Raw genomic sequence first — 23,634 nt, forward strand, 5'->3', positions numbered from 1 at the left:
TAAGTGTGGGCTCTGCATAGTGACTTGCTCCAAAAGAACACATGCAGTACGGACAAGGAGGAAAAATAACTTCACAGTGGAGAAATCTGACAAACAGTAGCTCTGCCAAATGATCCAAGTGAATATCAAAGCTGACAGTTCACCTTGAGAACATGAAGTGACAATGGGGGGCATTCTACAAAATTCCTGACCAATCCTCCTCAGTGCTATGAAGGTCATCATGAGATGGAAAGCCTGACACACTGTCACAGCCAGGAAGAGCCTATGTGATGACTACATGCCGTGCGGGATCCTGGATGGGATCCTGGGTCAGAGTAAGATAGAACTAAGGGAATCCAAATGAAATATGAACTTCAGTTAATAACAGTCTATCAGTATTGGTTCATTAACTGCGGCAAATTATGTAAGATATTAATAAGCCATGTGAGACACACTGATAGAAGATGTTAATAAGAGAGGAAACTAGGTTGCGGCTACATGGGAAATCTCTGCTTTTTTTTTTTGACGATTTCTGTGTAAGTAAAAAAAAGACGTAAAATAAAACTTTATTTAAAACACAGTTTTTTTAACACTTCCTTGTTTAATTATTTATACCATGAATTACTAGTAATTGACACTGTTAACTAGTCCTGTTTTTTAAAATAAGAGCAATTATGACACAAAAAATTAAACAGTGCAGACTGATATATAAATCAAAACAAATGTCCTTTACATGTTTTCTGTTACAGTAGTAACAATATGTGTAAACTTAATTATCATATTTTTTTCTTGTGCTGTGGTTGTGTCCTGGGTTCATTCTCTAAAATGCTGTTCACCTTAGACCAGGAAAAATATTAACCATACAGACTCTGTTTCAAGTCATAGCTGAATATTTTCAAAAGAGTGACTTTGTAAAAACATGTTCCAATGGCAAATTGATTCATTGTGATGGGATCAATTATTCCAAAGACTTCTTGTCTTTATTTTGTTCCCATGCCTACCTTTTAGCCATAATACAACAGAATCAAATATTGGCCACTGGGAAAAAATATTCAAAGAAAGAAAGAATGTGAACAGAACTTATGACCATGATGATTCAATGTTTTACCACAATGCTTTCTAAAACAAAAGAGTCTAAAAGGATATTCAAAGTCAATTTCCTCAGCGAGGATTTGCAGAAAATGAGGAAACTAGAAAAACAAAAATGGCGGGACATTCTACGGGTGATTTTAAATGTTGCTATGTTTTATGGGAAAAAATACTTTACCTTTTAAAGAATCACAAAGAATTATTGGAAACCCAAACTCTGGAATGTTTGCAAATTTAGTTGAGCTTCTGTGTAATTATGTCTATATAGGTAGCCATGAAGTTGATGATTTCTTAAAAATCTGTGCCTTATTTGTGTAATAAAAGACACAATGAATAATTAATACTCATAGGAACACTTACGAAGGGAAAATAAATCTTGGGGACTCAAAATCACTAAGCTAAAGGGAAAAGTCAAGCTGGGAACTGCTTAGGGCAAACCCGCCTCCCATTCTATCCAAAACACCCGTCTGATCACCTAGATAAATGCATACCTGATTGCCTCACATGGAGAGGGTAATCAGCAATGCAAAAGAATGAAACCATTTGTCTCTTACCTACCTGTGACCTGGAAGCCCCCTGTCTGGCCTTCTCACCTTTCTGGACTGAACCAATGTACATCTTACACGTATTGATTGATCTCTCGTGTCTCCCTAAAGTGTATAAAACCAAGCTGTGCCCCGACCACCTTGGGCCCATGTTGTCAGGATCTCCTGAGGAGGCATCACAGGCGCACATCCTCAAGATTGGCAAAATAAACTTTCTAAAAAATCTGAGAGCTGTCTCAGATTTTCAGGGTTCACACATGTAATGTAGGATGTCAATGTTTATAAAAGGGATGTTATTCTATCTACTATTAGAAATATGCTGTCAATTAACCTTAAACTTTCTCAACACAATAAAAAATGTTGATGAGGTACAAATAATATATCTAGGCTTAAATAGTGTTGCAAGTTTTAATATGCCTACTTTTCAATTTTTCAATACTATCTTTACTAATTTAACACTGTAAGAAAAATGAGTAATTAAAACATGAATAAAAGTGTTTACAGGGGATGCACATGTTTCCTCCAGCCTCTGCCTATACCCAACTTTCATCCCAACTGTCCTGATGGTGGCTCTAAGCATTTCTCCTTTCTCTATACCAAGATATCTCCCCAGAAACAAACCCAAATCTTACTATATGTTATGGCACGCTATGATGATGAGCAGCGATGAGCAGCCGAAGCCTCAAGGAAGGGATGCTTTTGTAAAACAAGACTTGTGGAATATAACATGTGAAAGTAAAGCCCATGGCAGAACTCCCTCCTCAGCACACGGGGAGCAGACAGGAAGCTGTTGCCTCACCTTCCTCAATGGCCTACAGCCACATCTCCCCAGGTCAGTCTTAAGGACAATGAAACTCTGGTCTTCACTGTGGACACACCACACTACCAGGCGCTCCAAAGCCATGGTGACCCACCCTCGGGTGGGTCCTGAGGAGAACAAAGCTCTGGTTCTAATTCTAACCCTAACCTTGTCCCAAGACTTTGACACTGAACCTAAATCCTGATCCCTATCCTGGTCCCTAATTCTGACCCTTACTTTGACCCTGACTTTGATCTCGACCCTGACCATGACCCCACCTCTAACCATACTTCTGGCCCTGACTCTGACCCAGATCCTAATCCTATCCCTAACCCTATTATTATCTTTACAATCTATGTCTAATCTTACCCTCTAGTGCTAAATAGCTGTACCCAAAAGCACTTTAAAATTATTTAACTTCTTTTCCTTGAATTCTCTAAGGACATCCTAAAGGAGATGTCAATATGTATTTTGCATTCCCTCTGAGTGGTATGGCTTCAGATAAGAAGTTCTAATACTTTGCAAGACATAAAAAGTTTGGAGGGTGACAGCACTGGGTTGTTAGGGATGCATGTTGGCATTCGTGGTAGTCATAGGTGCTGTTCTCCAGATATTTTCAGTTCATATTTTATGAATGCATTCTGACTGTTCCATCCCGCCTACTTACATTTTCACATGGCCACATGACTTTTTTTTTGCCAATGGAGGTGAGAAGAAATAACATGTGACTTTTTCAGGAGAAATCTCCAAGAAACAGAGTGCTATTCCGCATACTTTTTTCTCTTTTCTATAGCAATGGGGATCTTATTGATTGTCCCTCCTTCCGTCTGGATTCCTGTGTTAGGATGACACAGCACAGAGCTACCTCTCACCTGACCCATGATGAAATGTAAATAAATGAGGAAGAAGATTTTTGAGCCACTGAAATTTGGAGGTTGTTTGTCACCACAGTTTAACCTAGCCCCCATTTACTGATGCACGGCTGAAGAATGAGTCCGAACTGGATCTGGACAAGACATGTGAAGAGCGCTCCAGGCTGAGTAAAATTCAAGTGTTGTCTCAAAGATAACACTGAGCACGATATGTTATTGGGGTGGGTGTGGGATAAATAAGGTATATCAGGTGAGAATAACAAGAAACTCAACTTTAAAAGACGGTGCCGATTTGGAAGACACCAAATTGGAAGACAGCAGGAGCTGCCCCATAATACCAGTAAAGTGAGAAGCAGAGATAAACTAGTCCTAGACAGCTGACTCATGTTGGGGGCAGCCCACTCACAGTGGCCCTGACCCAACTCTGACTAGAGGCCACTTGATCTCAACACCAGGGTGCTCAATGGCCCGTCCTGGTACTCTGCTCTACACTGGTTGTAGGAAGGAATCTGCAGGTTGAAATAAGGAGATCATTTCCCTGAGGTTCCGAAGCTCATATTTACTCACCATTTGTTGTTTACTGCTAATGTTGAGCACTGTCAGTAAAATACATAAAACCCTTTGCCAATCCAGGAAGTGAAAATGACACTTTACTGTTTTAATTTGCATTTCTCTGCTTACAAGTGGATTACACACATTTTCGTGTGCTGTTGGCTACTTATTCATTCAGAAAACATACTAAGTGCTGGCTCTTTTTCATGTCCTTTATCAAGTTTGGATCATGTCATTTGCTATTTTCTTTCTGATGTAAACTCTCAAAGTCTGAAGTGTATTGTCTTTTCCTGACACATATGTTGTAAATAATTTTCTGGCTTACATTTTGACTTTTAATTTCATTCACGATGTTTTTAATGAATAATTTTAATTTTTATGAATGCAAGTTAAAATAATTCTTTCATTGTGGTCTCTGACATGTCATGCCAATAAGGGTCTTCTCCTCCAAGAGCACAGAAATATTTGCCAATACTGTCCTTAAAATCGGTCACAGTTTCATTTTTTATATATGCATTTTACTTCAATTGGGGCTTCATTTTACTGAATGCCCTATTTGAAGCAAGTTTCTCAGTTAATTCTTTTCTCAAAGGGCTAAGTATGGTAGATTGCAAACATAAGTGGCCACATAATGCTCTCACCTCCTTTGCCTCCTCTCCCAGGAGGAGATAGCGTCCATCTTTCCACTCCTTAATCTGGGCTTGGCCGTGTGACTTGCACTGGCCAATGGGATATTAACAAGTCTGATGTGCACAGAGGCTGTAGAATGTGCACGGGGGCTTGGTCTCTCTTGCTGCCCTGGAGACCAGCTGCCCCACGAAGGAACCAGAGCCAACCTGCTGCTTCCTGGAGGAAGACAGTCCCTCTGTCCCTCTGTCTCTGCCAACCAGTTAACCTGCTGCTTCCTGGAGGGAGACAGTCCCTCAGTCCCTCTGTCTCTGCCAACCAGTTAACCTGCTGCTTCCTGGAGGAAGACAGTCACTCTGTCTCTGCCAACCCAGTTGACCGCAGACATGCAGGTCTGCTCAGGTAAGACCAGCACAGTCCCTGCCCTGTGAGCCAAACCAAATGGTCCAGCCACAGAATCGTGAGCAAATAAGTGATGCTTAAGTCACTAAGATTTGGGCAAAAGCTGAGCATTTATCCCAATCCCAATACTGTTTGTCCTTCTGTTTATCTGTCTGTCCTTCCCTGCTCATTTAAAATGCCCCCACTGCATCTAGTACATTTTTATAGGATCAGGGATCTGCTCTTGGATTAATGTTGTGTTCCCACCTCGAGGCAGCTTTGTAAGCTTCTGAGCACTTCCCAATTCCGGGTGACTTCAGGCACTGGGAGGCCTGTGCATCAGCTGCTGCTGTCTGTAGCTGACTTCCTTCACCCCTCTGCTGTCCTCAGCTCCTTCACCCCTGGGCCTCAGGAAATCAATGTCATGCTGACATCACTCTAGATCTAAAAGTTGGGTTCTTGGACCAGGCGTGGTGGCTCACACCTGTAATCCCAGCACTTTGGGAGGCCGAGGCGGGTGGATCACAAGGTCAGGAGATCAAGACGATTCTGGCTAACACGGTGAAACCCCGTCTCTACTAAAAATACAAAAAAATTAGCCGGGTGTGGTGGCAGGTGCCTGTAGCCCCAGCTACTTGGGAGGCTGAGGCAGGAGAATGGCTTGAACCTGGGAGGTGGAGCTTGCAGTGAGCCAAGATCACGCCACTGCACTCCAGAATGGGAGAGAGAGCGAGACTTTCTCAAAAAAAAAAAAAAAACTTAGGTTCTTGGATGTTCGGGAAAGGGGGTTATTATCTAGGATCCTTGAAGCACCCCCAAGGGCATCTTCTCAAAGTTGGATGTGTGCATTTTCCTGAGAGGAAAGCTTTCCCACATTATACAGCTTCTGAAAGGGTTGCTTGACCCACAGATGTGAAGCTGAGGCTGAAGGAGACTGATGTGGTTTCTCCTCAGTTTCTCTGTGCAGCACCAGGTGGCAGCAGAGGTCAGCAAGGCAAACCCGAGCCCGGGGATGCGGAGTGGGGGCAGCTACGTCCTCTCTTGAGCTACAGCAGATTCACTCTGTTCTGTTTCATTGTTGTTTAGTTTGCGTTGTGTTTCTCCAACTTTGTGCCTCATCAGGAAAAGCTTTGGATCACAATTCCCAGTGCTGAAGAAAAGGCCAAACTCTGGAAAAAATTTTGAATATTTTGAGCCAAATGTGAGGACTACAACCTGTGAGAACGGAAAATAAATCCTGGGACCCCAGACTCACTAAGCCAAAGGGAAAAGCCAAGCTGGGAACTGGCTTATGCAAACCTGCTTCCCATCTGGTTCCTAAATAAGATAGCTATTACACAAAGATAAAAAAGCTACATCCCTGCCTCTACCTCCATCGCATGTAAAATGTGTATTCAGTGAACGCTGACCAAAGACAGAAGAATGCAACAATTTGCCTCTGATTTACCCACACCCATTTTTTCCACTTCTTCCCCTTTCCCCAATACCCACACTTTTCCCCTTTACTTACTGAGGTCCCCAGAAAATCTTTGGGAAAAGCACGGACCACAGTTTTTCCTGTGGTTCTCTGTTCTTTTCTCAGGTGTGTCCTTAACCTTGCAAATAGATTTCTTGAAATGATTGAGACTCACCTTGGTTGTGTTCTTTGATTAGTGCCTGTGACGCAGCTTCAGGAGGTCCTGAGAACGTGTGCACAGTTTAGTCGGCAGAAACTTAGGGAAATGTAAGACCACCATCAGCACATAGGAGTTCTGCATTGGTTTGGTCTGCATTGGTTTGGTCTGGAAGGAGGAAAATTCAAAGTAATGGGGCTTACAGGTCATAGATAGATTCAAAGATTTTCTGATTGTCAATTGGTTGAAAGAATTATTATCTACAGACCTGCTATCAATAGAAAGGAGAGTCTGGGTTAAGATAAGAGACTGTGGAGACCGTGCATAGTTGCTTCCTGATCAGCTCTTTATTTGATTGAGAGTGAGGCAGGGAAGATTAGAGGGAAGCTTACAGTGGAATTCAGGGCTAAGGCTGCTATTCTTTTGCTCCTTGTAACTTCCTACAGTGTTGTCAGCATCCACATACTTCTCTGTGGGGTTGGTCTCAGAGCCAGGTTACCTTGTCTTAGGTCCAGTGGCACCCTGACTGGCTTGGTGTCCTTGAACAAGTTACCTAACCTCTCCATACCTCAGTCCCTCAGCTGTAAAATTAAAAAAAAAAAAAAAGAAGAAGAAGAGTACCTACTGTATAGCATTGATTTGAAGATTGAATGAGCTGGTATTATACAACGTTTAGAAGCAGTGCCTGACACGCAAAAGGCTCTCAACAAATACTATCCTTTACTAATATCCTGTGTGTCTGTATCAGAGCTGGTGGGGTGGAGGGACAGAAACAAGTGGGAGAAGGTAAAGAGATGGGCAAATGATCTCTAAACTCTCTCTGGCACTAACACAATTCTTTATTATGTGTTTTGTCTGGCTCTTTATATTGATAGCTGTTCCAGAGGCAATCAATAGCTATTAGTCGGTTTTATTCTTATTTTTCTGTCTGATCTTACAAGGGAGCAAACTGTGGCAAAGTATGAACTTACTTCTCAGGAAATTAACCATTATATTGGCAATCACTGTGATTATTTGAACTTCAGCGTCTGGACAAATTTAGTCACATGAAATACAGAAGAGAGATTTCTCATGGTTAAAACGAAGCTCTCTTTATTTGCTTCTGCTAATTAAAAAATCAGAGCTAAAGATACTTAAACACTACAGTTAAAATGCCATGGTTGTCTATTGGCTTAACGAATTCTCTTATGAAATCAACTCTAAAATGTTATCCATCATAAATCATGAAACGCAATTTTTCTTATTCTCTTTAGAGCTTTACAATTCATCTTAAAGACCAGTGTTTACACTCTCTTCTGTAGGTTGTACAATAACTTTTGGTGAGAAAAAATAAAAGTCTGGCTTTCTGACTCATAGGTGTGTTCCCTTTAACAGAAAAAGAAAATATGTCCTCTTTAAAACTGATGATCATTGGTCACCTCAATTTTATTGAAGTTCACTTCTGACCTCTTTAGATGTAGTTCTCTACATAAAACTGCCCAACAGAATTCTCTGTCTGAATGTCTCCTCCACAAACAAAATTTTAAGAACTAAAATTATCATCTTTCCTTCCAAATATGCTCTCCCTATGTCCCCAGGGCTCTCCATGTGTAGAGCTGAGACCATTTGCCACTCAGTTTCCTCACCCAATTAATTACAAGTCCCAACAATTTTCCGGTTTTTTTGTTTTTGTTTTTGTTTTTAGACGGAGTCTTGCTCTGTCACCAGGCTGGTGTGCGGTGGTGCAATCTCAGCTCACTGCAACCTCCGCTGCCTGTGTTCAAGCGATTCTCCTGCCTCAGCTTCCCAAGTAGCTGGGATTATAGGTGTGTGCCACTACATCCAGATAATTTTTGTATTTTTAGTAGAGAGGGGATTTCACCATATTGGCCCAGATGATCTCAATCTCTTGACCTCATGATCTGCCCACCTTGGCCTCCCAAAGTGCTGGGATTACAGGCGTGAGCCGCCATCCCTGGCCCAGTTTTGCCTTTTTAACATCCCTCAGCTCTTCAAATCCATTTTCTCTTCTCTAACACCTCCCCATTCCCCAGCTCGTAATGAACTCGTAAGTAAATTACTACAATCACCTCCCAAATGGTCTTCCTGGCTCCATCAGCCTTGTGACCTTCAAGTTCATTTTCCACATGGATGTCAGAGTAACTTTCTAAAATGAAAATCTGACCACGTTACTCTCTTGCCTAAATCCGCCTATGGCCGCTCTTAGGATCAAGTCTAAACTCCCGACCCTGGAACATCAGGTCTTCGTGCTCTGTTCACTGCTTCTCTACCTCACCTGCAACCAACACCACTCCCACATCCATATGCTGCTCACCGTGTATCAACATGAACAGGAGGTGGGTGTTTCAGTCCCCAGGAAGACACTGGGCCTTTTCAATCATCTACTGCTTTGTAATAACCACCCCGCAAACTGACCACATGATTTCATTTTGCAAGGGTTCCTTCCTTGGGCTGTGTTCAGCAAAAGGGTTTACTGAGCTGGCAGGTCCAAGATGGCCTCACTCACAGGACTGGCTGTTGATGGGAGCCTTGATGCTCTTGGGCTCACCCCTTATCCTCCAGTAGGTTAGAGCTTCTTACAGTGGTTTCAGGCAGCATCTGAAGACAGTAAAAGCAGAAGCTCCAAGGCTTCTTACATTCTAGCCTGGAAAATTACATCACATTGCTTCCTTCATATTTTTTTGGCAAATCAGGTTGCAAGGCTTGCCCAGATTAGGGTAAAGAGGCAAAGAGGCTCCTTTTCTTTTCTTTTCTTTTCTTTTTTCTTTTTTTTTTTTTTTTGAGTCAGAATCTCGCTCTGTTGCCCAGGCTGGAGTGCAGTGGTGCGATCTAGGCTCACTGCAAGCTCTGCCTCCTGGGTTCACGCCATTCTCCTGCCTCAGGCTCCCAAGTAGCTGAGACTACAGGCACCTACCACCACACCCGGCTAATTTTTTTTTTTTTTTTGTATTTTTTAGTAGAGACTGTGTCTCACTGTGTTAGCCAGGATGGTCTCCATCTCCTGACCTCGTGATCCTTGCAAAGGGACATGCAGACCACATTAGTGAGAATATGTGCCTGTATTTTGCAATCTGTAACATGGGCATAAACTAAATGTTTTCCAAAGGGAATAGGGCAAAACAAAAAGGACCTTGACCACTCCTTGGCCCTGAATAAATCCAGGAAGCCTAAGAGTATGACTATCCTGAGGTAGAAAGAGGGTCACATGCTGGATAAGAGGTACCTGGGCTCTCCACTTACAAGAAGAGAGCATGGTTACATTTATAATCACCATTCCCAACATGCTGTGAGTGCAGGCAGCTACCAGGAGGAGAACAAAGGAAATAACCAGGACACTCATCTCTAAACCTGTTAATTTAATCACACGGAACACTTCTATTTAAAATTCCCGAGAGTTAAGATGTAAGAATGCTTATCAAGGTAAATGCTGTTCACACTGCTTGGAGTGTCAGGCCTAGATCTCTATCCATCAGAAACAACAATATCAATAACAACAACAGCAACATGATGATGGGGCAATTTCTTAAAAGCACCATGTATTTTATCGATACATGTCCGTTGCAGAAAATCCAGGTGAATCCAAAGAAGAAATAAATGTCTTCCACAATCCCATAGCCCAGAGCTAACTAACCACTATAAAGAACCCAGCGTGGTTTTAACTCATGGATCAAAAGATGCTCATCAAAGGCTCTGAGCTTTCCTGAGTGCTAACAGGAAACATCCAGCATCACTGGTCTCTCCAAGGCTGCAGGTGTCTTTGCCCATAGTGCCTGTTTTGTGTCAGGGAAAGAATCAACCTGGGAGCCAAGCCCAGGAATCAGGATGACCAAGACATACTGCACAAGGAGGGAACAAACCCATCCAAGGACACTCAAGGACAAATCAAGCAAATGAATTTAAGGGAGACGTGCTCATGGTCTGCTTTGCTGCTCAGCATGGCTGGGAGGCACAGTGGAAGATCATGCATCCTGCCCCTGGGACTCCTCTGCCAGAGCCTGAGAGCTTTCTCCTGCCCACAGGCTAGGGGTAGGGCAGTTGGAATTGATCCATGCCTTCTAGCTAGACTGTGGGTCCCCTCAGTCTTGGGCATGGTGACAGCCCAGCATCAGACAGAGGTCAGTATCAAACTAGAAAATGTAATAAATACTGTCAGATTTGTAGACCCAAGAAAATATAAACTGCCAATCATGGAGGAAAAAAATCTCTCAATGATCTTATCTTTATATGATTCCCTTGCTGCCTGGAGATTGACATTTCCTTGGGGATAATCTGGTCATAGGATTGGTGAAGGTGGAAGGGAGGCAACCTCCAAAGGTGGGGCCCTCTGCTCACCTGGGACAGGGAGGGCCTGAGGTAGGTGTCTGTGTGGGCTGGGGAGGAGGATGGGAGCAGTGCTTCTAGATGTTTCCACTTTCTCCTCATTAGATAATAACGAATGGGTGATTTCCCTAGTCACTGCAGTGTGAGGAAATCTACAAAATTAATTTCACAATACACTTTACAGGATAGGTGGAGAAACACATGAAGCACAACTGCAGTGGGTTATAAAAAACGGCCTTTTGAGTTGAGCAATAAATTCGTTCAAGCAGCCATTCTGAAGGACAAACTGGCTCTGTATTTAAGAGGGGCATTCCAGCACTTCTCTAGCCACTGGGTTGACAATGACTCACCAAAGCCTCTGGTAGCCACCACAGGACACCCAGAGCATATGTTTTAAAGCTGAACACCAAACTGCGGACTTCGGGAGTAAGTGAACTGACTGGTTTTTATTTTGTTTTACTGCTTTTAACATTACAGTAACTGTTACAGGTTCCAGCAGGCTAACTGGGTGGAAATGAGTTTGGTTTCACTTAGTCTCTCTAAAGAGAAAGCAAGTCGGTAGACTAATACCTAATAAAAGCAAAGCTGCCAACAATTGAAATTGCCTAGGCTGCTCTGTGTGTCCCACATGCATGGGTGTGGGTGCCAGTGTGTGTGCGTGTGTGCATGCATGTGCATGTGTGTTGGGATAGAGTGGTAAGAAAATGGGAAATAATAAGAATGTTCAGTCCATAGCCCTTCATTATAAAAAGGTGAGCTGTAATAAATACTAGTGCCACATTTAGCCAAAACTTTACTCCAGCCAAAGGTGATATTTTCATGATAACATCCTGTGATTGCTTTGTTCTTCGTCTTGTATGTTCTTCCTAGATGGGCTCAGAACATACAAGAATTAAGTACACATCTTATTTTCCAGTGATAATGCTACCGGCAAATTCTGTTGTTTGTATAAACATCAGCCAAGTTTATATAACTAAACTAGTGTTTTGTTTTGTCAATTCAGCAAGAAATTAGACCAAATGGTGGCTTAATGCTGCATTGATTTGACTATCAATTTGTTTTCACTTTTCTGCAAAATAATTAATACATTATTAAATTGAGTTATGCTGATGCCACAGTTGTTCTTATCTCAAGTGTCTTAAAATTCATTTAATTTGTTTTTCCTTTGGTTTCATTATTCAGATTTTAACTTCAGTTCTCAAGATTTTATCTGATGGAAGAGATGGAGTCCATTACTAAGGACTCCATTGTGCTCCATCATGCCAGAGTTGTAAAATAGATCTTTTAAAGGAAATTTACTGTGATTTTTTTTCTATTTAAGAGCTTCCTCTCCAGTTGAGCATGTAAGAAAATTATACCAGGAGAATACAGTAAACTCTATGAGGCAAGCTATAAACATGTAGCATTGTGATTAGGGCTGGTTCTCCTTCTAGAGATATGGTAGGATTGCAATTTCATACCATCCTTGAAGTTAGAGAGAGCCATGTGACTCATTTAGCCAATGAACTGTGAGCAGAATGACATGTCACTTCCAGCTGAAGCTTTAACAATCTGAGAGACATTCATACATTTTCCATGTGCTGTAGCCTTATACCCAAAGCCTGGGTCCCAAGTGACCATGACAGGCAGAGCTCCCTGGTGAGCCACAGAGATTTAGAGAATGGCTGTTAACACAGCATAATCCAGCCCATCCTGACTAATCTGATATTAACATGTATAATAAAGAATTCTATCAATGCTGAGGGAAGATGACTAGTTAAGGTCCTAGGTTGCAAGTCTCAAAACCTCTTCTAAGGATTGTAGACAGGAAATTAAATGACTTCTAGTCCCTAGAGTTCCCAATCTCCTACCATCCCATCCTAATATGACAGAAGTAATTCCTGAGTTGCTTCTGAAACCAGAGCTTCCCTCAGAACCCTTAGCCTGCCAGATGGCTTCTTGGAGAGCCCTCACTCACTTTTCTCCTTCTGCTATTGCTGCTCATTCATTCCAGCTTTTAAAAATTCATCTTTATCCAGGAACCTCGCTTCTAGAAAAGTCATACAGGTGCTTCCAGGAGGCTACATGGGCACCCATATTTTTCTAGCCACTTTCATTAGACCAATGCAGCAGAGAAGAAAAGCCTCAATAATTATTATGACATGGCATGTTAGGATACCAAGTAAATTGCATTTGTAAAATGTGATTTTCTGTTGGTGTTCACTTCTGCTCTACTGACATTTGGTAAGTATTATTGACTGACTGACTAACTAATGTGGTCATTAGTCTTCATAAAGAAAGGCTCTCTACAAAAACGGAAGGATGCCCTTTTTCTGGCATTTAATACGTAAGAAATTGCCTCCAATAGAAACCAGAGTTGCCTGATTACTATCAGCACAGGAGAAATGTATTAATGTGCCTTTCTAGTAACAGGTTTTTAGAAAGTCAAATATAAACAAATCTGTCTATTTGTGTGTGTGCATGTGGTAGTGGGGAGGGAAGAAAAAAGGAGGGGGAGAGAAAGAGAAATAAGAACCAAGTTTATTATACTGTATTCAGGGGGAAAAAATTTTCCCAAGGTTCTAACAGAAGAGCAAAGTGCCACTGTCAATAGCCTCAGTAGTGTTAGAGTTGCTTTTATTTATTTATTTATTTATTTATTTATTTTTCCTTTTTTTTCTTTCTCTTTTTTTCTTCTTTTTTTTTTCTTTTCTTTCTTTTTTTTTTTTTTTGGACAGAGTCTCACACTGTCACCTCGGCTGGAGTGCATTGGTGCAATCTCGACTCACTGCAACTTCTGCCTCCCAGGTTCAAGTGATTCTCCTGCCTCAGCCGCCCAAGTAGCTGGGATTACAGGTGTCTGCCACCGTGCCTAGCTAATTTTTTTGTATTTTTAGTAGAGATGAGGTTTCACTATGTTGGCCAGGCTGGTCTCAAACTCCTGACCTCATGATCCACCCACGTTGGCCTCCCAAAGTGCTGGGATTACAGGCGTGAGCCACCGCCCCTGGCCAGGATTGCTTTTACAGCCAGTCTTCAGGTGCCCACTGTAGGAACAATGTCATTTAACCCTCGGGATTATTCTGTGCCAAATATGGATAATGACTAATATCCAACACAGATATTCTCAGCTCAGAAGAGCAATTAGCAAATTCATAAATTAAGTGCTTGCTTCCTCTTTAGTCAAATACAAACGTTTGTTAAAAGATATTATTTTGCTTTACACTTTTTCTCTCAGAAATAAACAGATGCTTGAATTCCCACAGTGCTGCTTGAGCCTCACACCATGTCATCCTGCCAGGCACCCAGATCCAGTTCTAGAGTTTCACATGATCATGAGTGTTGGTTAATAAGTCAATGCGAACTGGGAGGGGAGATTTTTCAGGAGTGCCACAGGGCTCTCCCTTTAATCACATACACTCCCTGCTTTCATTGGAAAGTGTATAATGATGTCAGAGTGCCCCAGAATGGAGCTAGTTGGAAGACTGCCGTCATAGGGATGCCTTAGTGAATTAATAAGGTTTTAATTTCTGGCTCTCAACTTTGTAGATGTAAAAGTTGATTTATCAATATGTGAGAAAGGATGAATCTTTCTGAAGGTTATGTCATCACACTCACTAAGCACACAGAGAATAATGTCTAGAATCTGAGTGCCATGTTATCAAATTGTACTGAGACTCTTGCAGTCACACAGGCTGACATGTAAGCATCGCCATGCCTAGTACAGACTCTCCCTGCAGATGAAATTATATGGGATGCTAAATTATAATGAGAACAATGTTTGGTGAGCCAAAACTACAACAAGGGAAGCTAATTGGATGAATTTATAAAAATATGCCTCAGCCAAAATAGCTTAATTCACTCTCCCTTATCATAAGGATAATCTTGCCTAAAGGGACAGTAATATTAAAGACACTAGGAATAACCTCTGTACTTTGGACAGTAGACCTGCATAGCCCATTAGGCCTCAATGAAGTCTTATGCAAGACCAGAAGCCAATTTGCCATTTAAGGTGATTCTCCATGTTTCTGCTCTAACTGTGCTTCACAATACTCAAAACACTAAATCAGGATGTTTCCTGGAGTTCAGGGAGCTGTCCGTGTTACTGAGCAGTTCTCAGCAACACAAAGATCCTACTGACTCCTCATCAGACTTCTTTCTCACTGGAATTTTACACCTGGGCTGTTAACACCAGGCCAGGTCAAATTCAAAGGAGAGAAAAAAGCTCATTATGAAGGGTAAAATCCAAAACACTGTGCATAAAGATATGTGTGCACAATTTTTATACATAAAGATTTCATAAAACCAAAGCATCAGGAAATGAAAAGAGATACAGAAAGAAAAATGATGGTAAATGAGACATTAATTTACCCTTCTAATCTCTATCACAGCAAAAAGATAATTAAAAAATCTATATGAGGACCACAAAATACACAAAAATTATGTAGCAAAGCCTATAGCCTGAAAAAGTAAACATTGAAATTTGTATGTCCATAAAATGTTTACAAAATTCAGTACATATTACACACCCCACCCTAAAAACATCTAAGCAAAGTAGAGAATGTAGAAATGCTACAGATTATATTCTCTGATTATGACACAACAAAACTAGAAATTACAGCATGGAAATTTAAAAGCTTTCTCTTAAATAATTCTGTGTCAAAAAGAAATCCAGGCCGGGTACAGTGGCTCATGCCTGTAATTCCAGTACTTTGGGAGGCCAAGGTGGGCAGGTCACTTGAGGTCAGCAGTTCAAGACCAGCCTCGTCAACATGGCGACACCCTGTCTCTACTAAAAATACAAAAATTAGCTGGGCCTGGTGGCTCATGCCTGTAATCCCAGCTACTTAGGAGGCTGAGGCAGGAGAATTCCTTGAACCCAGAAGGTGGAGGTTGCAGTGAGCTGAGATTGCACCACTGCACTCCAGCCTAGGTGACACAGCAAGACTCTGTCAAAAAAAAAAAAAGAAATCCAAATAAAATTTCCAGAATATGTGGAAAATAGTGACAATAAAAATATTACACATGTGTAATCCCAGCATTTTGAGATGCCAAGGTGGCAGGATCACTTGAGACCAGGAGTTCGCAACCAGCCTGGACAACATAGGGAGACTCCATCTCCACACATGCCAAAAAAATTTTTAAATAGCCAGGTATAGTGGTACTTCTTGTAATCCCATCTACTTGGGAGGCTAAGGTGGGAGAATCACCCAACCTCAGGAGTTCAGGGCTTCAGCAAGCCATGATCATATCACTGCACTCCAGCCTCAGCAACAGAGCAAGATCCTATCTCAAAAAAAAAAAAAAATCACATGTGGGAAATAGCTATAGCACAATAAAAATAAATGTATTAAGTATGAACAACAAAAAAGCTAGTAAAGGTTGAACAACAACTATCCTTAGGAAAGTGGAAATAATGTATTAATAAATATGAAAGCAGGCTAGGCATGGTGACTCACATCTGTAATCCCAGCACTTTGGGAGGCTGAGGCAGGCAGATCACCTGAGGTCAGGAGTTCCAGACCAGCCTGGCCAACATGGTGAAATCTTGTCTCTCCTACAAATACAAAAACTAGCCAGGCTTGGTTGTGCACTCCTGTAATTCGAGCTACTTGGGAGGCTGAGGCAGGAGAATCTCTTGAACCTGAGAGGCAGAGGTTGCAGTGAGCCAAGATCATGCCACTGCACTCCAGCTGGGGCAACAGAGTGACACTCCATCTCAAAATAAATAAATAAGAAAGCAGAAACTAATAAATTAGAAAACAGAAACATAGAACTAATTTATAAATCAAAGCACTATGCCTTGAAAAGAGGGAGAAAAATTGTGAATTAAGGAAGGGAAGAGATGGTTGGAGAGGAGGTGGGAGAAGGCAGAGATAATTGAAGGAGCAAAAGCATCTGGAGAAGCAAAGCCACTGAAAGATGAACAGGGCTCTGAAAGAGATGCTTGATTGCTATCTTTTCAAATGACTGCAGTTCCCAGTGACATCATTTTTCTCCTCCCTGGAAGTCTGAGGGGCAGTTCACTTATCTCCTCCCCTCCCCTACTCCTCACCCCACACTCAAAACCTGTCTATGCTCCTTTCATTCTCATATGACAGATTTCAGATGGCAGTCTTATTTCCCTGATTTCTTTTTGAGATAGCTTGCATTTCCCTCCTCTATATAAAGCCACCGTTTATCAAATGCCTACATGGACCAAGCAGTCCACAAAGGCTTCACAGACAGTTTTACTAAACTCATGCCAAAACTTTCAGGTTTTATACCTACCTTATAGATAAAGAAATTGAAGCTTATAGAGTTTAAGTAATGTTCCCAAAGCCTCATGGCTAGTAATTCAAACCTAATTTCTGCCTACTCCAAAGTCTATTTTTCCTTATGATACTATACTGCCTCTCCATGGATAAAGACAGAGATCACATATTAATAAAATTTGCACAAAGTCGGCAAATTGTTGAAAGGGAAGGCTAAGATGATTAATAAAATCAAGAGCCAGATGATCTCAACAACCTGAAATAACTGGCTGACAACCAATTTGAATAACTCCCTGCGGGTGAAGTTCAAAGTACTATTCGGGTTTTTTTTTTAAAGTTTGGCTGGGTGCAGCGGCTCACGCCTGTAATCCAAGCACTTAGGGAAGCCAAGGTGGGCAGATCATGAAGTCAGGAGTTGAAGACCAGCCCGGTCAACATGGTGAAACCCCATTTCTACTAAAAATAAAAAATTAGCCGGGCCTGCTGGTGGATGCCTGTAGTCCCAGCTACTCGGGAGGCTAAGGCAGGAGAATCGCTTGAACCCAGGAGGTGGAGGTTGCAGGGAGCCGAGATCGCACCACTGCACTCCAGCCTGGGCGACAGAGCGAGATTCCGTCTCAAAAAGTAAAATAAAATAAAATAAAAAATAAAAGTTTGATATATTCAGAATCAGGGAGGTCTGCTGGGTGCAGTTCATTTGAAAAATTCCTCAGCATTTTAGTGATCTGTATGGTCCCTCTATCTGTCAGGGTCCTAGCAGGAAATTGTTGCACTCTCAAAGGATTAAGCAGAAAGAGTTTAATGAAGGATCTCTTTCCAGGGTTAAGGGAACTGCTAGGGTTTGGATATTTGACCACTCCAAACTCATGTTGAAATGTGATCCCCATTGTTGGAGGTGGGGCCTAATGGGAGGTGTTTTGGTCCTGAGTGTGGACCTCTCACGAATGTCTTGGTGCCATCCAAGTGAGTTCTTGCTCGCTCTTTTTTTTCTTTTTGCGATGTAGTTTCACTCTTGCTGCCCAGGTTGGAATGTAGTGGTGCGATCTTGGCTCACTGCAACATCCACCTCACGGGTTCAACCCATTCTCCTGTGTCAGCCTCCAGAGTAGCTAGGATTACAGGTGCCCACCACTATGCCCAGCTAATTTTTGGTATTTTTAGTAGAGACGGGGTTTCACCATGTTGGCCAGGCTGGTCTCAAACTCCTGACCTCAGGTGATCCACCTGCCTCGGCCTCCCAAAGTGCTGGGATTACAGGCGTGAGCCACCGTGCCTACCTAGTTCTAGCTCTCTTAATTCCCACAAGAGCTGGTTGTTAACAAGAGCCTGGCACAAACCCCTCTCTCTCGCCACGTGATCTCTGCACATGCCAGCTTCCCTTCCCCTTCTGTCATGAGTGGAAACAGCCTAACGCCCTCACCAGAAGCAAATGGTGGCACCATGCTTCTTGCACACCTTCAGAACTGTGAGCCAAATAAACCTCTCTTCTTTAAAATTATTCAGCCTCTGGTATTCCTTTATAACAACACACACACACACACACACACATACACACACACGCAAAAGCAGACTAAAACAGGAACTAATTAGAAATGGTGATGCACCGAGGGATTGGCACCGAGGCTCCCCAACAGGAACTGAGGTCATGGATAGAAGGACACATTCATGTTATTTTTTTCTAATGGTTAAGTAATTATTTGCTCTTACTCTCAAAATTTCTGCCAAGGCCTCCCATGGACCAAACTCAACTAGAATCTAGGAAGCAGAGAACCTGAGTGTTGCATTCAGCAGAAGTCAGCTTCCTAGGGAATCTTGCAGGAAGGGTGAAGGTAGAGAATCTGGTGGGGAAGCAAGCAAATGCCCATCACATGCACTTTCCTCCAACAGAGCGACTCAGATGCTATAAAACTTGCTAACACAGTCTCAGGGTCTGATCACAGTAACATACAATCCAGGTTTTAATCATCAGAAATCACAGTCCTATTGTCTTCTGCACAGACCCAAACACACTTGGAGGTCATGTTCAATATGAATACCTCACAGAGAAGGAAATTTACACGCGAGAAGTACATCTGCAGAAAGCCAGCTGGCATGTCAACCATTCAAAAACTCAGGGTGTTCTGGATAAAGAAGACTCAGGAAGACAAGTATGAAGCATAATCTGTGACATTCCATGCGGCAGACATTAGACATATACAAGAGAGTTGTTGGAAAGCGGAATTTATCTTCATATAAACAACACTGAGCTAAATCTCAATATTTCAGATCTCTAGAACTATCCATCAGTGAAATGGATTGCAAATACAAAGAGTAATACCATGTCACTTAAGAATACAATCATGGACGAGGCTGCCACCTGCTGTTGGGGGCCACTGCAGAAGAAATTCCAGAACACTGGACTGGAGAGCACCTCACTTTCCTTACAGCTCTAAGTTTCTGACTCAGTGACCTGATTCACTACCATATACACAAAGACCCACTTACACAAATGACTGTTCTTCACACTAGGCCCATGGAGACAGGGATAAAATTCTGAATTTGCTCAGATACCTTCTCCGCTACTGACATCTAGGCATTACACAATTCATCTCTTCATATTTAACCTTTGAAGTTTGCTACTTCTCAGAGAGACTAATGAGTAGTGAGCAAATATCCTGAAGTTGAGAATGCTTCTACCTCCTCTCAAAACAACGGAATATTCATCAAAACACAACAGTTCTGCACTTAACTTTAGGCCTTTTCTAACACCTTGTTTCTTGGCAGTAACTGTGGCCAGAATAGCTCTTTCCACAGATAAAGGACCTTTTGAAAGGATAGGGTCTCTAGATAGAAAAGCAAATGCCTCATTCCAGAAGGTCTTCAAGAAGAAAATGTTGTGGTGATAACAAACATAACTGATTATAATCTATTCTGTGAAAAAAGCTTATGAAACAGTAGATGTGTGTATCTAGTACATAAGAGCTGAATGTCAATATATATATAGATATATACACACACTCAAATAAATAATAGTTATCTCTAACTAGAGAAATTCTAGTTGCCTTATATTTTCTTCTTTTTCCTTACTATATTTTCTACAATAAACATGTGTTTTTAACAAGAAAAGTCTTTTCTGGTGTGCTTTTTAATTTTCTTTGTTTAAGTGAGAGTGAGGCTACATAACTACATGGCTAGGTAGACTTTTAGAAAACTTGACTGCTCTAGAAAATTGACATATCCTGATTTCTTCCATAGCTTGGATCTTGACCTAGAGGGAAATATAAAAGTGTTGACTTGAACCTGAGGGGTGCCATTTTCACTGCTGAAGTAGTTTCATGGATCATGAATTGGAGAAATGACTTCAGCAACATGGGTGTTAAAAACAGAAAGCACAAGTGACCCACAACAGATGATGGAGAACAAAGAGCAAGCTGGGAAAGCAGTGGCCTTTAATACAGAAAAGAAGAAGTATAGCCACAATAAATATTAGGCAGACAGCAGTTCAGCAGTTTATACTATTAAGCTGTTGTTTAGGGGAATAGTAAACTGACATGACCCTTGAGGTAGGTATATATAGGTAAATTCTATGTGTCCCTTGAAATAGGTGTATGACACAACTTCTGGCATCTACATGGATTTGGTCACTCTAAAGTAGCCATGAGGCTTAAGATAGTTCAGCTGTTTGGGGATAAGTTAAATCATTTGCCATTGTCTTTCTGCAATTTGCATATCCTACAGTTATCATTGCCATTACTGAATGGCACAGAGAAAAATTCTGGTCTAAAGTGGTTCTCAAACCTGGTTGCTGGAGGGCCACCCTCAGTGATGATGATTTAATCTGTAGAAGAGTAGAACATTGATAGTTTTTATATATCTCCAGGTAATTTTAATATATAACTGGGGTGAGAATCATTGACGTAATTGTAAGAGGATAATATTCAGGAAATATGGAGATAAATAATTTTCTTCTCGACATTAAAAAAATCTAATAAAAAGTTTTATCTTTTCCCCTAACTCAGGGTCATCAGCCTTCAAGCTTCAGTCTCTGTGTGTTCACAGGTGCTGTAAACACACGCATCACTACTAATATCCCACTTCAGTGCTATTGCTGCTCCCAAAACTCCAGGTATTTTTAACCTTATAAACCTCCAGAATAATGAGACCACTGGGTTCAGTAAATTGCTTTGTTTTGAAGCAGTATTAGACAAAGTGGGAGACTAGAAGATAAATCTGTCAATGACATGTCCTTTAAGACTACTTAGATTTTGTTGAATTTGTGGATCATTCCTTACTTGAGCAAATGGTAAATTAACTCTCTCTTTTCTCTCTCTCTCTAGCTGGCACACTTTTTCCAGTAGCCATTCTACTTGGTATGCTTACTTATCAGCTGTCCTCCAGGGGCCTCACATTAGATGTTTCTCTGACTAACCAAACATGACACACAGCTGAAGTCAGAAAAACCAGATTGATAATTTCACTCAAACTATTTTCCTTCATTCTAACAATTTACTGGAGTACACAATTGTGACTATTTTTAGCCATAGGAACTCATAGAAAGACCAACTTCATTAGACCTACAAAATCGAATTGTGTAACAGTATATGCAGTATGTGTAGGAATAAAAAGCATTTCTCAAATATGCAGTACTGGATTTTGCAAAAGCACCTTACACTTAGCTATAAAGGAGTGGAAAACACAAAGATGAGTAACTGCACCTTTCAAAAGACTAGAGCTATACCAATAATACAAAGGTGTAAACAAATAATGATGAGATGACAAAGGCTGAGTGTTTTCTATTTGGAAGCTATGTTGTTGAGTTATTTATGTATATAATTTCATGCAATCTTCATGTTATGGGGATGTTCTAATCCACTGTGACTCTGTCCTTAAATAAAAGGGAGATTTGGACATAGAGAGAGGCACACGGGGAGGATGCCATATGAGAATTGACACTGTGCTGTCACAAGCCAAGGAACTACTGGAAGGAGAGAAAGAGGACTGGAACAGTTCCTTCCTTAGCACCTTTTCAGGCAGCCTAGCCCTGCCAGCTTCTTGATCTGGACTTCTCACCTCTAGAATTGTGAGGCAATAAATCTCTGTTGCTTAAGTTACCCAGTTTGTGGTACCTTATTACAGGAGCCCTAGGAAAATAATTCATTATATAATCTGCTAAGGTAGATCTGATCATTGTCTCCAATTTCCATATGAAGAAACTATGCCTCAGGCATTGTGTCAGTTGTCCAAAATCATACATTCCTGACTCACTTCAATGAATTCCTCATTCAGCAAAATTTTTAAGGTACCTTAAAAAAATTATGTTAACTCTTAAGGCCTTGCTTTAAAGCTTCAATGGGCTTTTCCTTTGCAAAGAATAAAATCCTAATACTTAAGCATAGCTCTCTTTCCTGGCTATGTTTCTGACATCCTCTTGTACCATGCTCCTCCTTAATCATTCTGAGGTTACATCTTAAGTCCTTTCCCCTTGCCATTCCCACTTCTTGGAATACTTTCCCATCAACTCTTCAAAGAACTGCCTTCTTTAAGTATTTGGTCTCAGTTCAAATGTCACTTCCCTGTAAAAGCTTCCTGGCCATCAAGCCTTCTTTACACACTCTATTTTATTTTTTCATGGTTCCTATAACAACCTAATATATTCTCAATTGATTAACTGTTTTGCTGACTACTGCCTTCCATAAGAATGGAAAGAAAACGTGGCCAGGTGCAGTGGCTCACACCTGTAATCCCACCACTTCAGGAGGCTGAGGCAACATGGCAAAACCTTCTCTTCAAAAAATTTTTTAAAAGTTAGCTGGATGTTGTGGAGGCAAGAGGATCACTTGAGGATCACTTGAGTCCATGAGGTCAAGGCTGCAGTGAGTCATGTTTGCACCACTGCACTCTAGCCTAGGTGACAGAGCTAGTCCCTATCAAAAAAAAAAAAAAAAAAAAAAGAATGGAGAGAATGCTACATGAGAGAAAGGATCTTATCTATCACGTTCACCTCCCAAGAGGTGAACATATCCCCCAAAGCCTGATAGAGAGAAGATGCTCATTAATATTTAATGCATGACCATGTGCAGACTTGGGAGGAAAAATATGCCTCAGCCTATCAATATTGGATCCTTAATAAACAAGGATGTTTCTGCATCATTTCCCCACAACACCGAACAAGTGTGGCTCACTGTGGATGTTTAAGCAAATGCATTGTTTTTCCAGTTATATATCTGGTAGAGATTAGGCCATTGATAGGAATGGGAAGACGATCTCCTTTTATTTTGATGACCCAGCATGGCTGAACACTCAGTGACTACCACTGCACTTTGTTGTACTTTCAGCATTAGAGATGCCAGCCCTGTAGGATATAAAACAGGAACATCTAGTCCTCAATTATATTCAGAATTACTCAAGTCTTAGAAGCACCACTTGTCTTTTTTCAAGGGAGAGAAATGCTCAAGTGATGGGCTGAAGTGAAGGGAGGGAGTCACTCACTTGAATGGTTCCCTTAGGCTGTGTGGATGCAAACAGCATTAGACAATGACACTGACAGTGGGAAATGCACTGGAGACGATGATTGGCAAAGCCCTCCTTTTCTCCCCATCCACTATAGATACTGACAGCAAAGGGTTTGTCACAATGACAACTATA

General features: G+C 41.4%; 2 long non-coding RNA genes across 5 annotated transcripts in view; one reads left to right on the forward strand and one right to left on the reverse strand.

Moving 5' to 3' along the window:
- Positions 1 to 527: 527 nt before the first annotated feature.
- LOC127239154 (uncharacterized) overlaps positions 528 to 23,634 on the reverse strand; it is a 34,786-nt gene continuing 11,679 nt past the window's right edge. For all 3 annotated transcript variants that reach the window (NR_182074.1, NR_182076.1, NR_182075.1), the window contains 2 exons: positions 6,476 to 6,625; positions 528 to 6,013 (listed from right to left, as the gene is read on the reverse strand). This is a non-coding gene — a long non-coding RNA (uncharacterized LOC127239154). The remainder of the gene's footprint in view (positions 6,014 to 6,475; positions 6,626 to 23,634) is intronic.
- Positions 11,032 to 22,100, forward strand: LOC124903815 (uncharacterized). 2 transcript variants are annotated; one of them, XR_007065335.1, is made up of 2 exons: positions 11,032 to 11,203; positions 19,009 to 22,100. It is a non-coding gene; the product is annotated as an uncharacterized LOC124903815 (long non-coding RNA). The 2 variants fall into 2 exon arrangements; XR_007065336.1 differs by having other exon boundaries at positions 21,009 to 22,100.

This window comes from Homo sapiens, chromosome 1 (assembly GCF_000001405.40).
Source record: "Homo sapiens chromosome 1, GRCh38.p14 Primary Assembly".
NCBI lineage: Eukaryota > Metazoa > Chordata > Mammalia > Primates > Hominidae > Homo > Homo sapiens.